This window comes from Homo sapiens, chromosome 11 (assembly GCF_000001405.40).
Source record: "Homo sapiens chromosome 11, GRCh38.p14 Primary Assembly".
In the NCBI taxonomy this organism is placed as follows: Eukaryota; Metazoa; Chordata; class Mammalia; order Primates; family Hominidae; genus Homo; species Homo sapiens.
The window spans coordinates 71,110,074-71,126,641 of record NC_000011.10 but is presented as its reverse complement, the minus strand read 5'-3'; the positions used below and the strand labels follow the sequence as shown (position 1 = coordinate 71,126,641).

The following is a 16,568-nucleotide window of genomic DNA, read 5'->3' as shown; positions in this document are numbered from 1 at the left end:
TGGCATCTGGAATGCTAAATTCTTTCCAGAAGGTTTCAGTTGACTTGACTTTGCCCAGCTCCATCTGAGGAATCTGTGGCAGCTATAGTCTTACAAGATATATTGTTAAATAATAAGACTTGAATGTCGAAATTAATCCTTAATCCATGGACTGCAAAATGGATATTGTGTATGCAAGCATGAAAACGTTTATCTCCTTGTACATCTCCATCAGCACTCTTGAGTGACCAGGTACATTGTCAAGGAGCAGCAATATTTGGAAAAGAATCTCTTTTTCTGAGCATTAGGTCTCAACAGTGGGCTTACAATATTCAGTAACATGTGTTGTAAACAGATGTGCTGTCATCCAGGCTTTGCTGTTCCATTTATAGAGCACAGATAGAGTTAATTTAGTATAATTCTTTTTTTTTTTTTTTTTTTTTTTTGAGACGGAGTCTCACTCTGTCACCAGGCTGGAGTGCAGTGGCATGATCTCGGCTCACTGCAACATCCTGTTCCTGGGTTCTAGCAATTCTCCTGCCTCAGCCTCCCAAGTAGCTGGGACTACAGGTGCCTGCCACCACACCCAGCTAATTTTTGTATTTTTAGTAGAGTTGGGGTTCCACCATGTTGGCCAGGCTGGTCTCTGTCTCTTGACCTCATGATCCGCCCACCTTGGCCTCCTAAAGTGCTGGGATTACAGGCGTGAGCCACCGCGCCTGGCCGATTGATTTAGCATCATTCTTAAGGGCCCTCGGTTTTTTTGAATGATATATTAGCATAGGCTTCAACTTAAAGTCACCAGCTGCATTAGCCCCTAACAAGACAGCCTGTCCTTTGAAGCTTTTAAGCCAGATGTTGACTTCTTGTCTCTAGCTATGAAAGTCCTAGATGCCATCTTCTTTCAATAGAAGACCGTCTTGTCTACATTGAAAATCTGTTGTTTAGTGTAGCCGCCTTCATCAATGATCTGAGCGAGATCTTCTGGAGAACTTGCTGCAGCTTCTCCATCAGCACTTGCTGCTTCACCTCACACTTTCCTGTTATGGAGATGGCTTCTTTCCTTCAGCCTCATGAATAAACCTCTGCTGGTTTCCAGCCTTTCTCCTGCAGCTTCCTCACCTCTCTCAGCCTTCAGAGAATTGAAGAGAGTCAGGGCCTTGCTCTGGATGAGGCTTTGGTTTAAATGAATGTTGTGACCGTCTTGATCATCAAAGTTTGGTGACTCAAACCTTCTCCCTGTCAGCACTAAGGCCTGTTTCACTTACCATTTGTGTGTTCACTGGAGTGGCCCTTCTAATTTCCTTCAGGAACATTTTGTTTGCATTCACACGATGGCTTACTGTTTGGTGCTGGAGGCCTCACTTTTGGCCTGACTCAGCTTTCAACATGCCTTCCTTGCTAAGCTTAATCACTCCTAGCTTTTGATTTAAAATGAGAGATGTGTGACTCTTCCTTTCACTTGGACACGTAGGGGCTACTGTAGGGTTATTACTTGACCTAATTTCAATATTATTGTGTCTCGGGGCATAGGGAGGCCCAAGGAGAGGGAGAGAGGTGGGAGAATAGCTGGTCAGTGGAACAGTCAGAACACACAGAACTTTTATTAAGTTTCCTATCTTATATGGGTGTGGTTCATGCCACCCCAGAACAATGACAATAGTAACATCAAAGATCACTGACCACAGATCATCCTAACAGATATAATAATTATGAAAAATTTGACAGTACAAGAATTACTCATATGTGACACAGAGATATGAAGTGAGCGTGTGCTGTTGGAGAAATAATGCCGATAGATTTTCTCGTTGCGGAGTTGCCGCAAACCTCCAATTTGCAAAAACACCTTCTCTGTGAAGCTCAATAAAGCAAGTGAAATAGAATGGGATATGCCTCTAATTTATGATTTGCCTGCACTAAGATTGGCAGTGGGTGTGTATAGAGAGGAACATCATCTATCACTTGAACAGCAAGAACTCGGGAGATGGGGAGATTTGACTTGGGTTTAAACCAAACCTCTACTGCTTTCTAGAAGTGTGACCTTGGGGTAGTTACTTGGAGTCTCTGAGGCTCAGCTTCTTTATCTAGAGAATGAGAATAATATTATTATATAAACAGTAATAATAATATTATACAAAAAGTAATAATAATATCCACTTAGGGTTGTGGTGAAGGTGATAAGGTTAGCGTAATTTCTGGCTTATTAGGATTCAATACATGGTAATCATCACTGTGTCATGGTTATCATTATCACTGTCATCACCATCATCTTCATCATCACCACTACTGTCATCATTGCAGTGACCACTGTCATCATCACCATCATCATCCTCATTATGATCACCATCACTATCATCATGATTGTCACCATCACCATCATCATCACTACCATCCCCTTCACCAACATCATCACCATTATCACTATCATCATACCATCATTGTCACCATCATCATCACCACCATCATCACCATCACCATCATCACCATCACCATCATCGCTATCATAATACCATCATCACCATTATCACCATCAATCACCATCACCATCATCACCATCATGATCACTATCATCGCCATTACCAACATCTCCATCATCACCATTATCACCACCATCACTGCCACCACTACCACCACCATCATCACCATTACAACCACCCTCATCATCAGCATCACCACCATCATCATCATCCCCTCCCTGTAGACACTGAACTCTTTAAGGGGCAAGAGCACATCTTGGTCATCTTCGTGTCCTCTCACCCACTCCTGTCCTGGTGCTGGTATAGGACCCTGTGCACAGAAGATAGAAGCTCAAGGAGAAGAGAGTTGTTTCCTCCAGTAATCCTTTAGAGGAGTTGGCCAGGGTTGGGACTTCCTATACACTGTTGTCTTTGCCATCCTTTCTGTACTATCTGTGAGTCATCTAACAAATCACTCACTCACTCAGAACATCTCTAACAAATTATAAAGGAATAGCCACCTCGCAGGGCTGTGGGGAGACCAGAATCAGATACTGTTCTCCTCAAGGAGAACTTGACATGACCAAGGCTCACACTGGTAACAGTGGGACCAGGAAGGGTCACTTAAGGCAGAAACTGTCTTGGGCCATCCACCTGCTAGACTCATCGCTGTTCTACCTTTGCCTCCCTCCCTCTCCTTATGATGGGCCCTCAACCTGGAAGTCCTACCCCAGACTCGCATATCCCTCTGTATTCCTGGGCAGCAGCCTATGATGTGTGCTCCTTACCAAGCAGCGTCACTTACTCCTTCCTCTGGGTCCCCAAGGGAGCTCGTGTTAGCATGGATTTTTACCTTTTCCATATTGTGTGACAGTTGAGTAGGTGTTTTTCCCCACTACAAATGGTGACCTCAGGCTGGTTTGCTTCTTATTTATTGTCTTTGTGGCTCCCACATCATTCAGCCAGTGTCAGTCACCTGTACTGTGTCAGGCCTGCTCTTGGACCTGGGGTTTGCCTGATTGGACAGTGAGTCAATGATGGGTAGGTGAAGAATTGAAGTAGGATTCATCCAAAGTGTCTTCTGACGTCGTGGGCTTGCCGGGAGCTGGTGTGAACACGTGGGTGGCTCCCATCACGTATGGAGGGAGGGGAGCTCCCTGGGAGCTGGGAATGCTCGACCTGCTGAGTTCCGCTCTCAGAGATGATGATGCTGCTGTTTTTTTGCTGCCACAATTAGTGGCAGGTGATTCACACGTTTATGAGTTCCCATGCCTGCCATAACCAACCACAGACTGGTGCCTTAAATCCCAGACACGTATTGTCTCAAATTCTGGAGGCTGGAAGTCCAAGGTCAAGGGGTAGGCAAGGTTGGTTCCTTCTGAGGCTTGAGGGGGAATCTGTCCCAGATTCTCTACCTCTACCCCAGCTTCTGGGGGCTTACCAGAAATCTTAGCATTGCTGGGTTTGCAGATGGGACACACCAGTCTCTGCCTTCCCATTCACGTGGTCGTCTCCCCGTGTGCATGATGCCGTGTCCAGATTTTCTCACTTTTTTTTAAAATTATACTTTAAGTTCTAGGGTACATGTGCACAATGTGCAGGTTTGTTACATATGTATACATGTGCCTTGTTGGTTTGCTGTACCCATTAACTCGTCATTTACATTAGGTATTTCTCGTAATGCTTTCCCTCCCCCAACCCTCCACACTAAGACAGGCCCCCATGTGTGATGTTCCCCTGCCCTGTGTCCAAGTGTTCTCATTGTTCAATTCCCACCTATGAGTGAGAACATGCAGTGTTTGGTTTTCTGTCCTTGCGATAGTTTGCTCAGAATGATGGTTTCCAGCTTCATCCATGTCACTTCAAAGGACATGAACTCATTCTTTTTTATGGCTGCATAGTATTCCATGGTGTATATGTGCCACATTTTCTTAATCCAGTCTATCATTGATGGACATTTGGGTTGGTTCCAAGTCTTTGCTATTGTGAATAGTGCCGCAGTAAACATACGTGTGCATGTGTCTTTATGGTGGCATGATTTATAATCCTTTGGGTATATACCCAGTAATGGGATCACTGGGTCAAATGGTATTGCTAGTTCTAGATCCTTGAGGAATTGCCACACTGTCTTCCACAACAGTTGAACTAGTGTACACTCCTACCAACAGTGTAAAAGCATTCCTATTTCTCCACATCCTCTCCAGCACCTGTTGTTTCCTGACTTTTTAATGATCGCCATTCTAACTGGTGTGAGATGGTATCTCATTGTGGTTTTGATTTGCATTTCTCTGATGACCAGTGATGATGAGCATTTTTTCATGTGTCTGTTGGCTGCATAAATGTCTTCTTTTGAAAAGTGTCTGTTCATATCCTTTGCCCACTTTTTGATGGGGTTGTTTGATTTTTTCTTATAAATTTGTTTAAGTTCTTTGCAGAAGAAACTGAATGCCTTCCTTACACCTTATACAAAAATTAATTCACGATGGATTAAAGACTTAAATGTTAGACCTAAAACCATAAAAACACTAGAAGAAAACCTAGGTAGTACCATTCAGGACATAGGCATGGGCAAGGACTTCATGACTAAAACACCAAAAACAATGGCAACAAAAGCTAAAATAGACAAGTGGGATCTAATTAAACTCAAGAGCTTCTGCACAGCAAAAGAAACTACCATCAGAGTGAACAGGCAATCTACAGAATGGGAGAAAATTTTTGCAATCTGTCCATCTGACAAAGGGCTAATATCCAGATTTACTCCCTTTTTAAGGACACAGTTATTGCATTAGGGTCCACCCTGCTCCTGTATGACATCATCTTAACTTGATTACGTCTGCAAAGATCCTATTCCCAAATAAATCACATTCATAGGGTATGGGCATTAGGACTTCAACATTTATTTAGAGGGGCACAGTTCAGCCCATAACAACATGTCTTATTTATATTCTGTTTGATCCTGACAGCAGCCCTGAAGTTAAGTAGTGGCTCTGATTTTCATGGGGGAATCAGAGGACTGCTGGGTGGGTGGGTTTCCCTAGGAATCAAGGTTGGTGTGCCCCACTGGGTTGCAAACCCAGGCTTTCCGACCTTTGAGCTCTTGCTCCTTCTAGATGATTCTCAAGGTGGTGCTCTTAGCATTTTCTGGAGCAGATGGTTCTTGCTTTGTGGGGTTGGCCCCCGTGCTGCACAGACACAGCATCCCCACCCTGTCCACAAATGACGGTGGACACCTATCTTTGCAATCACCTGCAGTGGCACAGAAGTCCCCTGAGAGGCAGTTTGGAGCCCTGTGCTCCTCCAAGGAATTGCCCCTTGGCTGAAGCTTCTCTGCAGGTGTCAGGGAGGGAGCCATGGGCTCTGTGGATGTTGGAGCTTGAATTGGAGGGGCCTAGAAGGATTCCTGCAACTGAAGGGTGAGTAGTGAGCGGCCCCACCTGGTCACACCTGATACAGCTTGTTTCTTGTGCCAGGAGTTTCCAGAGAGTCCTTGCTTAGCCAAGGATGGGGGAGGGTGCGGGTCTGGAAATCTTTCTGGAATAAACAACTGCCCCCACCCAGCCTCACAGCCCTGTGGGGAGCTTTGAGAGCCACACGTGAGCTCAGCCTTTGACATTGGAAGGGAGAAACAGGAGCTTTTGTGCACAGGGTCAGGTTTCCTGGCAGGGAGGACTCTGGCCGCCCACTGAACCCGACCTCCTGTTGGCCGTCCCAGGATCATTTTCCCAGCGATGAGGAACTTACCCTCGGGCTGTCTTGGGAAGATGATAGGGCCTTTTGCTTTCTTGGGCACAAACCCACAGAATCCTCAGATAGAGAATTGGTTTGAGTCTTATATTCAATCAAACCTCCTTTTGTTCTGAACACTTTGACAGTGACAAAGTGAATTATTGAGCCCCTGCTGACAGCTGTTCAGTAGAATATAATTTTAATTCAACAAAAATTAGAAGTCATGGCTAGAAGTGGATTTGCCTGGCCTTTGCCTTTCCTGGCTCACTGGTGAGTCTCACAGAGGGGACCTGGGAACATGACCAAGTTGTTGTTATTTCAGTCCTCAGAGGTGCTATTATATGTTTGAAGTGTTGTGATTGGTTTGCAGGCCCTGTTGACACTATTTAACTTTGCAAAAATGAACTCTCATGGCAACTGATTTGATTTTCCATCAAATCGTTTTTCCGTAATTGCTTTCCTGTGTCCTTTGGGAGGAGAGGTGATGACTGCATTTTTAAAGCTTTTGTGTTCAGAGTCAGCGTAGGTAGTATGAAAACTTTCTCGTCAGTGTGGTTATAAGACAAGGCTTCCACCGAATCTGAAATGCTAAAGAACGATCCATGTCAAAATTAAGTCACATTGAAATATGCGCGGGCTGTGGCTCTGAATGTGTGTTCCCCAGGACGGCAGCAGCAGTAGCACCTTGGGATTTGTCTGAGATGTAGGTTCTCAGGTCCCACCCAGACCTGCTGAATCAGACATCATGTTAGGGAGACATAAGTGGGGTCTCTGACCTGTGTTTTTCAAACTGCTGGAGTTTGAGAAGTGCCATGCAAGTGAGAGAGGGCCCTGAGGTGACAGGTGGTCATTGATGACCAAAAAGACACTATGAGGGCTAGAGAATTTTTTTTTTTTTTTTTGAGATGGAGTCTCGCCTTGTCGCCAGACTGGAGTGCAGTGGTGCAATCTCGGCTCAGTGCAACCTCTAATTCCCTGATTCAAGCGATTCTCCTGCCTCAGCCTCCAGAGTAGCTGGGATTACAGACACGCACCACCATGCCCAGCAAATTTTTGTATTTTTAGCAGCGATGGGGTTTCGCCATGTTGGCTAGGATGGTCTTGATCTCCTGACCTTGTGATCTGCTTGCCTGGACCTCCCAAAGTGCTGGGATGACAGGCGTGAGCCACCGCACCCGGCCAGTGCTGGAGATTTGAGTCCATGGTGAGATCAAGGCCAAAGAGACCAATGCCTCGGTCTTTCCTTTTTCCCTTTTATATTTACCGAATGTCTGTGTCCCAGCAACCAGTAGGCTTTATTTTTCACTGTGAAAAGCCGTGGGTTCACTGCTCAGAGGAAGTGTCGGGAAGGGGTGGAAGCAGCTTTGCCTCTCTGACCACGCGCCCCACATGGGTGACTCAGGTAGCGTCCTCTGTCACTCATCAGCTGTCTTTGTCCTTCCTGGCAGAAATGCATTCGATTTAACCCGGATGCCACAGTGTGGGTTGCAAAGCAGCGGATCCTGTGTACATTAACCCAGAGTTTGAAAGATGTCCTGAACTACGGCCTGTTCCAGCCGGCCAGCAATGGGCGTGACGGCAAGTTCCTGGATGAGGAGCGGCTCCTGCGCGAGTACCCACAGCCCGTGGGTGAGGGCGTTCCTTCCCTGGAGGTATATTTCAGCCCACAGTGCATGGACTGTGGTTGTGTCACAGCCTGGATGCCATGGTGGGTGGGGGAGACATGGTGGTGGGGCGAGACCAATTCCATTTGCATTGGGAAATTATCCCCACATTTAAAAATCAGTCTGGGGTCTTGAGGTTTGATATGATTTGGCTCTGTGTCCCCACCGAAATCTCACCTCTAATTGTAATCCCCACATGTTGAGGGAGGGACCTGTAATCCCCATGTATTGAGGGAGGAGGTGATTGGATCATAGCGGTTTCCCATGCTGTTCTCATGATAGTAAGTGAGGTCTCACGAGATCTGATGGTTTTATTATAAGTGTCTGGAAGTTCCTCCTTTGCTGTTCTCTCTCCTGCTGCCTTGTGAAGAAGGTGCTTGCTTTCCCTTCGCCTTCCACCATGACTGTAATGTTCCTGAGGCCTCCGCAGCCATATGGAACTGTGAGTCAACTAAACCTCTTTCCTTTATAAATTACCCAGTCTCAGGTATTTCTTTATAGCAGTGTGAAAATGGACTAATAAAAGGTTGCTTCTGATTTTGCCATGAATCTCACACTGTTGTACAACTTTTATACATTTTTTTTTCACTACAGATTCAAAGAATCCCTGCAGAGAAATCTTGCTGTGAATAATAAACCGTGGGTCTGATTCAGGCTTTCATAACCAGGACCATGGGCCCTGGGCATGGAGAACGGGGCTCCCCATGCTTCTCTGAGGGGTTTTAAATTTTTCCTTCCCAGCGCCTAATGGGTGGTGTATTTTCCTTCTCCACCTCTCCAGACACCAGCTGGATGTCAATAATTAATTCAATTCTGACACTAACTACAAGTTTAAGGGCTCAGTCCCATAAGACTGCCCTCCATAAACGTCAAGTCCCCAGGCCACCCACATTTCTGTCCCATTTGGCTGTGAACTAGGGGTTCCCACCACCCCCTTTTTGGGTTCCATCCCTTGCTGGAGCAGCTCAGAGAACCTAAGAAGGCATTTTAACTGCTACCCCTGGCTTATTACAAAGTGTACAAACGCACAGCTGATGAAGAGGTGCACTAGGCGACGTCGGGAGGGCCCAGCGTGCAGGAGCTTCCATCCCTGTGGAGTTGGGCGTGCACCACCCTCCCAGTATGTGGATGTGTTTGCTGGCTCAGAAGCCCCCAGGCCCCATTGTTGAGGTATTTTTATGGAAGTTTCATTACATAGGCATTACATAGGATGAAATCACTGACCATGGTGATTGGACTCCATCCTGCCAGTCAGCAGGGCGACTGGGAGTCCTGACCCTCGAGTCATAGTCTGATCCTTCCGGCCACCAGCCCCCATCCTGGAAGCTACCTGGGAGTTGAGAGTCATCTCATTAGTGCTCCAGAGATACTCTTATCACTGAGGACAGTACAAAGGTTTTAGGAACTCTGCCAGGAGTCAGGCACAAAGAAGGAATTTTTAAATTACATCATATTCCTCGCGATAGTCTGTTCTTTCATTGCTATACAGAAATAACTGGCTGGGTGAGGTGGCTCATGCCTGTAATCCCAGCACTTTGGGAGGCCGAGGAAGGTGGATCACCTGAGATCAGGAGTTCAAGATTAGCCTGGCCAACATGGTGAAACTCCGTCTCTACTAAAAATACAAAAATTAGCTGGGTGTGGTCATGTGTGCCTGTAATCCCAGCTACTCGGGGGGCTGAGGCAGGAGAATTGCTTGAACCCTGGAGGTGGAGGTTGCAGTGAGCCAAGATGGTGCCATTGCACTCCAGCCTGGGCGACAAGACTGAAACTCTATCTAAAACAACAACAACAAAAAAACCTGAGGCTGGCTAAGAGAAAGGAGGTTTAATTGGCCCACGGTTCTGCAGGCTGTACAGAAAGTGTGGTGCCGGCATGGGCTCAGCATTGAGGCCTCAGGGAGCTTGTTCTCATGGCAGAAGGCAAAGCAGGAGCAGATGTTAGGTGGCAAGAGGGGGTGTGAGAGCGAGCAGGGGAGGAGTAGTTCCTGGCTCCCCCGTGAACTAACAGAGCGAGAATTGACTGACTACCATGGGGAGGGCTCCAGGCCATTCAGGAGGGATCCGCCCCAGGACCCAAAGACCTCCCACCTGGCCCCGCCTCCAACACCGGTGATCACATTTGAACATGAGGTTTGGAGGGGACACACAGTCAAACCATACCATTCTCCAATTCATCTCTGAGTCCTTGAGTAACAGGGCGGCTGTGACCATCCAGCTGTTCTCAACAGCACAGCTTCACTTCTGCTTCCTGCCCGGGTGACCGGGGCTCTTTGAGCTGCTGTCAGCAGCCACAAGCTCCTGGGCCTCCCTCCAGAAGTGGCTGATCCGTAAGACGGGGCAGCCCTACACATTTCCACGTGATGCACGACCCCTGTCCCTACCTCTCTCACCCAGGCTTGCTACGCCCCAAGTTTACAGGCATTGTTTCCTGCAGTGTATACGTGTTGGGTTACGTCAGTTAAGAGAAGCCAGAAACGGATCATTTCTACTCCTGCACAACATGTTGGCATCATTCAGCGATTGCACTCATTTTAGCTTAGTCAACAGCAAGAGGCTGCATGTGTGTAATTGCAGCTGGCACTTGAGCAACCTAAGTGGGTTCTCTACTCAGTGACTAGGGATTCCTCTGAAGCCCAAGATGTCATGGACGCCCACCCAGGGCTAAGGTGATGCCGCGTCTGCACGTTTCTCAGTTCCGTTGTGACACTGAGGCTGAGGTTATTGGGATCCCCAGTGTGGACCATGTGTCAGATTCAGGGAGGGGTTTCAGTGTAGAAAAAGATGAGATGCCACTTGGAAGTTGTGTGGTTTAGAGCAAATCACTCAGCTGTCCTGGCCTCAGTTTGCTTATCTGTAAAATGGGTATCCATTGGGAAAAAAATTGTCATTGAGGGCCAACTAAGGACCACACACTTTTCTGGCACAGAAAAGTCAAGGTTCTGATCCCACGGACCTTACACTCCAGTGGGAGGTGATGGACCAGGAAGAGTAAATCCATGCAGTTCATTTCAGGGGCTGATCATTTCCATAACGGCAGGAAAACTGGGCGAGAAGACCAGAGAATTTGGGAGTCTCCTCTACATCTGGCCCCAGTACCTGCAGCTGTGCAACCTCGAGCCAGCCACCCATGCTCTCTCAGCCCCGGATTCCCATTCATGACATTGAGTGAATGTTAGTAGTGATGTCCGGGAGTGGTCGTGAGGCCCAGAGGAAGTGTTCATGGAGCAGTGTGTGCGTTGTGAGCCTGGCCATCCACAAGTCCCCAAATTGACTTTGCAGCTGCTGCTCTGGTTTCATTGTCATGAAATTGTTGCTGATACTTTGTTTTTTGTTTTGTTTTGTTTTTGAGACCGAGTCTCGCTCTGTCATCCAGGCTAGAGTGCAGTGGTGTGATCTCGGCTCACTGCAGCCTCTGCCTCCTGGGTTCAAGCGATTCTTGTGCCTCAGCCTCCTGAATAGCTAGGATTACAGGTGCCCACCACCACGCCCAGCTAATTTTTGCATTTTTAGTAGAGATGGGTTTCACCATGTTGGCCAGGCTGGTCTCAAACTCCTGGCCTCAGGTTGATCCACCTGCCTCGGCTTCCCAAAGTGCTGGGATTACAGGCGTGAGCCACCACGCCCGGCCAAAATTGATGCCGATACTTAGGTTTATTAATCTCCTTTGCATGACCCACTGCAAAGGCTGAGATTGGCTCAGGGATTGACACATTAGGGGCGGGCATCAGTCTGGGCTCTTTGCCTCAGATAATTTCAGCACAATATGGTGGGCTGCTTATGAAATGTTGGAGAAATAGCAAGAAAAAGGGTCTGTGGTCCTGAGCCGGTGTCCTCTGTAGCTATGGGCTATAAATGTTTGTGACTCTGGAATAAACACTCCCTCCTTGAGTCCTTTACCCTCCTGCCCCAGAGATGCTGTGGGCCCAAGCGGATTGTTTTATGTCTGGAAAGGGGCCCCGTGGAATTGAATTCCCTGAGACTTTTAAGCTTAGCCACATGATCATGAGCCTGAGAAGGCACCTGGCATCATTCTCAGTGGCTTCTGAAATCTGGACCAGAGGTGTGATTGGTCCCGGGGCATGGACGCACAGAACCTGCTGTCCTGAAATCTAGAATCAGAAGTGGAAGTTCTAAAATGGGCCTGTAGCTCCTCCTGCCTGCTCTGTTCTGGGAAATGAATGGATGCCCTTCTGACCAGCGCACTTTCTCCCCAAACTCTGTGCAGCCTGCGCTTCACAGAACTTTCCGATTTCACAGCTGGTTTATTTGGCCAGTTGAAAACAAAACCCCACAAGTATCAGTCTGTGCACAAGAATTTTGTCTTTTGTCAAATAGCCATTTTGTTTGGCGTGGTGGAGAAAGGAGACTAGGGTTGTTTATTTGGAAGCTTTTCTGTGAGATGCGACTTTCAGTTTCAGGATGAGCTCACCCGCCACCTGCCCCGCACCATCATTTTACCCAGGGGCGGTTTTTGCTGGCTCTGAGCACATGTGTAACCGTGCAGGGTGACGGCATCAAGGGCAGTAAGGAGGGAGAGATAAAGTGGACTTGTCTAGTGCCAGGTCTGTGCCAGGAAGCTCACATTCAATGCTCAGGCCACCCTGGGAGGTGGGTGCTATTATCCCCATGGGGCAGATAAGGAAACTGAGATGGGAAAGTGCCCAGCCCTGAGTTAACTCTGTGAGTTGAGAGCATTAGGGCTGGGATTGGAACAGAGGTCCCAGCTCCAAACTCCAGTGACTCCTAAATGCTCAGCATCCTTCCCAGACCTTCTGCAGCATCTCCAGCCAAGCGGGGGGCTGGAGGAGGGAGGAGGTATTTTAGAGTCTCACCAAGCCCACTCCGACAATGTTGCTTACTCCGTGCATCTGAGGAAGATGTGCTCCTTGGTTCATGCAGTGATGTAATTTCCAGTTCAAAGGAGGCGCTGCTGTTTGGAGGGAAAAACAGTGGCTTCAGCGATCTGGGCAGAGGTTGCAGGAGTACAGGAGGTGGGGCCTTTCCCAGCCCAGGCTTTTAGGGTGTGTTTTAACAAAGGTGGACAATGTAGGAGAAAAACCTGGTGTTTGAAGCAGCATCCTCATTTACCAAAAATGCCTTGCCAAGGGCTGATCCATTCCCCTGGGAGGAACCATAACCACTCAGTTAGCTGGGGAGCCGGTCACCGGGAGGGAGACCTCCCAGCTTCTCACCTGCAGGATCTTCCCTTCCCCTTGCTCCTGTTTCTTTATATGGCTTTTTAGCTAAACTGCTACAGAATCTTGACAAAAGTGATGCTGAGGATGTTGTAGGCTCTGGGGTGCAAATACCAGTCATTTATTTAAAACTGGAAGTTTGCTGTGGGGTTCCCCGTCTTCTGTGACATAGCCAAGGAAAAGGCCCGTTTTCCCTCTGAACAACTCTGAGAAGTATTGACTTGTTTTCTCTCTCTTTTTTGTTTTCTGTGCCAGTTTCGATACAAGAAGCGGGTGTATAAACAAGCCAGTCTCGATGAGAAACAGTTGGCCAAGCTCCACACGAAGGTATGCAGGGAACGGGCTGTTATTTACACGTTAGGCAGGCGGCGTCCTCCTTGTTATCTTGTTGTGTTATCTTTAGACGCTCCTCTTCCAGGGGCACCTGCTGTGTACCTGGCATGGCGTGTGGCTGGGCTGGGATGTACAGGCAGACTGGCCCTTACGGTGCACACTGCGGAGACCCACCCGGGAGGCAGCAGGGGCTGCTTAGTGTGGCCGTGGGTGCTGGGGGAAGGGAGGCAGATCCTACTGGCTGCTCCAGGGAGGGTCAAAAGCGGCATCTCTGAAGAGAGTGGGATCTGGACGCCTGGCGTGGTGGAGGGAAGCGGGTCCACAGTGAGCCCCGTATTAGTGTTCTGCTGTTGTTGCTTCAGGAAAAACCTTGTTAAAGTGCTGTTCACATAAATTGCACTGAAGTTAGACTGCAGGTGAGCAGCAGGGGCGTTGCACAGAGTGTTCAGAACCTGGCGGAATGCACTATGCCTTGAGCTCAGAGTCCCAGATAAGACATCCACACCATGAACACCCTGCTGTCTTTCAGGGTGCTGTGCGAGTCGAGGAGGAGGCGTGGAGAGGGGGCTGAGGCATAGGGTGTGTGGGCGGAGCACTTTGCTTAACCAACAGGAGGAGGAATCTGTAATACCCAGGAGGCTTTTGTCCTGGCCCCTGGCCCCTGGTGCTGTTCCTAAGGAGAGCCCAATTGCACTCCCTGCAGAGCATGGGGTGGAGAGTCCGGGCAGCTGCCTGAAGCGCTTCCCTTTGAGGGCCCTGATGCTCTCCAGGTGAGCTCCCCTGCAGCTGCGAGCTCACCAATGGCTTTCTCAGCCAGCAGGATCCTCTCGGTTTTTGTTTTGCTGCCCCTCCTCCTTATATCAGATGCATGCAAGGATTCTTTTTTGTTTGTTTGAGACAGAGTTTTGCTGTGTTGCTCAGGCTGCAGTGCAATGGCATAATCTTGGCTCACTGCAACCTCCGCCTCTCGGGTTCAAGCGATCCTTCTGCGTCAGCCTCCTGAGTAGCTGGGATTACAGGCATGCACCACCATGCCTGGCTAATTTTGTATTTTTAGTAGAGATGGGGTTTTGCCACGTTGGCCAGGCTGGTCTCAAACTCCTGACTTTAGGTGATCCATCCGCCTCGGCCTCCCAAAGTGCTGGGATTACAGGCGTGAGCCACTGTGCCCGGCAGGATTCTTACTGTGCTCACTGAGTTCTAATCTGTCATTATCATTATTGATTTTTGTGCTCAAGTTGTCCAGATGTGGGCGGCAGTTGCCCTTCCTGTGGTGTTCTGCCATGTGGTGCATCCCCACCATCCTTGACACACCAGCCACTTTATGGCACAAGATGCTCTGGGCTCTTCCGATACTTCCCCTGCCTCTGCCCTGGAATTTGCCTGGAAAGCGGTATTCAGACGGCAAGATCTGGGTGCTTCTGGGTTTTGGCTTTTGTTTTTTATCACCCTCTGATGTGCAGATAAAAACGTATTTGTGAATTTTAAAAATGCTGATTTGTAAATAGCAATGCAGGTTTTCAGTGACACCATGTGTAAGTCATGTGTTTGAGGGCATTTGATCAGTTCTAGTTCCGAAACATACAGAAAATGGGCAGGTGGAAATCTAGCACGTGCCAGGAGGTTGAAGGGCCCAGGAACCTGCTGTGTCAGAAGCCGCATTTGTCCCCCTTCTGTGTGTTTTGAGAGAGGTACGGAGTAGGGGCAAAGAATTAGGCTGGTGAGGAGTGTTAGACGCAGCAGGCGGAAGGGTGCCAAGTCCCACAGTCCTGCTCAGACAGCCCAGACTGGCTCTGGATGGGCAGAGAATCATGACTTTTCTTACAGCGAGGCTGGCAGAGGCTGGGAAAGTTCCCACCCCATCAGGTTGATCTGCGGACCATCATGACCTCACAGGAAATGAGTCCCGCACTTCACCTTGAGCCACTCGGGGACCAGGCATCGCTATTTCTGCCTGTGTGGCCATGGGGTTCACCACAAAGTGGGTTAAGTACCAATCTGCGGGCCTCACTCCCTGGGGATGGAGGCAGGAGGTGGGTCCTGGAAACTGGAGATTGGAAAAGTGCTCCAGCGGCCCAGCTGTCTCTTACGAAAGCAAAGGAGCATTCATAGCTCTCAGCAAGTGTCTGAGGCCATTTACGCTGCTTTTACAAAATACCTTGGGTAACTTATAAACAACAAAAGTGTGACTCTCACCATTTTGGAGGCTGCAAGTCTGAGATCGTGGCATCGGCAGGTTCAGCATCTGGCCAAGGCCCAGTTCCTGGTTTGGATGGCCATTGTCTTGCTGTGTCTTCACGTGGAGGAAGGGGCGAGGGAGCTCTCTGGGACCTCTTTTGCAGGGACACTAATCCCATTCACGAGGGCTTCATCCTCCTGACTTCGTCACCTCCCAAAGGCCTCACCTCTCCATACTATTACATTGGAGATTATTCAACCTATGAATTTTGCGGGGACACACACGTTAAGTCCGTAGCACTAGGATGGCGAACGGTGAGGGGATTTTAAACATTCATCCAGGATAGGCCGATTGTACTTGTCACGTGCCAGACACTGTGCTCACCCTGTGGTTCCAAAAGCCTCAGCTCCAGGAGCCTCAGGGCTTGTGGTGCACCCTGGCGAGGGTGGGTCTCCCGAGTGCACCAGTCAGGAACTTTCCCAGAGCCTGGAAAGACATTTGTTTTTCTTTTTTGAGACAGGTCTTTCTCTGTTGCCCAGGCTGGAGTGCAGAGGCATGAACACAGCTCACTGCAGCCTCGGCTCAGGCGATCCTCCTGCCTCAGCCTCCCAAGTAGCTGGAATCACATGTGCCACCACGTCTAGCTAATTTTTTGTTTGTTTGTTTGTTTGAGATGGAGTCTCGCTTTGTTGCCCAGGCTGGAGTGCAGTGGCGCGATCTCGGCTCACTGCAAGCTCCGCCTCCCAGGTTCATGCCATTCTCCTGCCTCAACCTCCCGAGTAGCTGGGACTACAGGTGCCCGCCACCACGCCTGACTAATTTTTTGTATTTTTAGTAGAGACAGGGTTTCACCGTGTTAGCCAGGATGGTCTCGATCTCCTGACCTCGTGATCTGCCCGCCTCGGCCTCACAAAGTGCTGGGATTACAGGCGTGAGCCACCGTGTGCAGCCATGTCTGGCTAATTTTTCTATTTTTTGTAGAGACGGGGTCTCACTTTGTTGCTCAGGTTGGGACATTTCTTATAAAGATGTTT

At 48.6% G+C, this 16,568-nt stretch overlaps 1 protein-coding gene across 19 annotated transcripts in view; it reads left to right on the top strand.

Annotated features, from left to right (window-relative positions):
• The window catches only part of SHANK2 (SH3 and multiple ankyrin repeat domains 2), a 785,381-nt gene that overhangs the window by 126,593 nt on the left and 642,220 nt on the right, over positions 1-16,568 (top strand). For 18 of the 19 annotated variants that reach the window (NM_001441030.1, NM_001441032.1, NM_001441037.1 and 15 more), the window contains 2 exons: positions 7,610-7,813; positions 13,278-13,349. In NM_001441030.1, coding sequence (NP_001427959.1) covers positions 7,610-7,813; positions 13,278-13,349 — 276 coding nt within the window. The remainder of the gene's footprint in view (positions 1-7,609; positions 7,814-13,277; positions 13,350-16,568) is intronic. The other variant, NM_001441038.1, reaches the window with a different exon arrangement.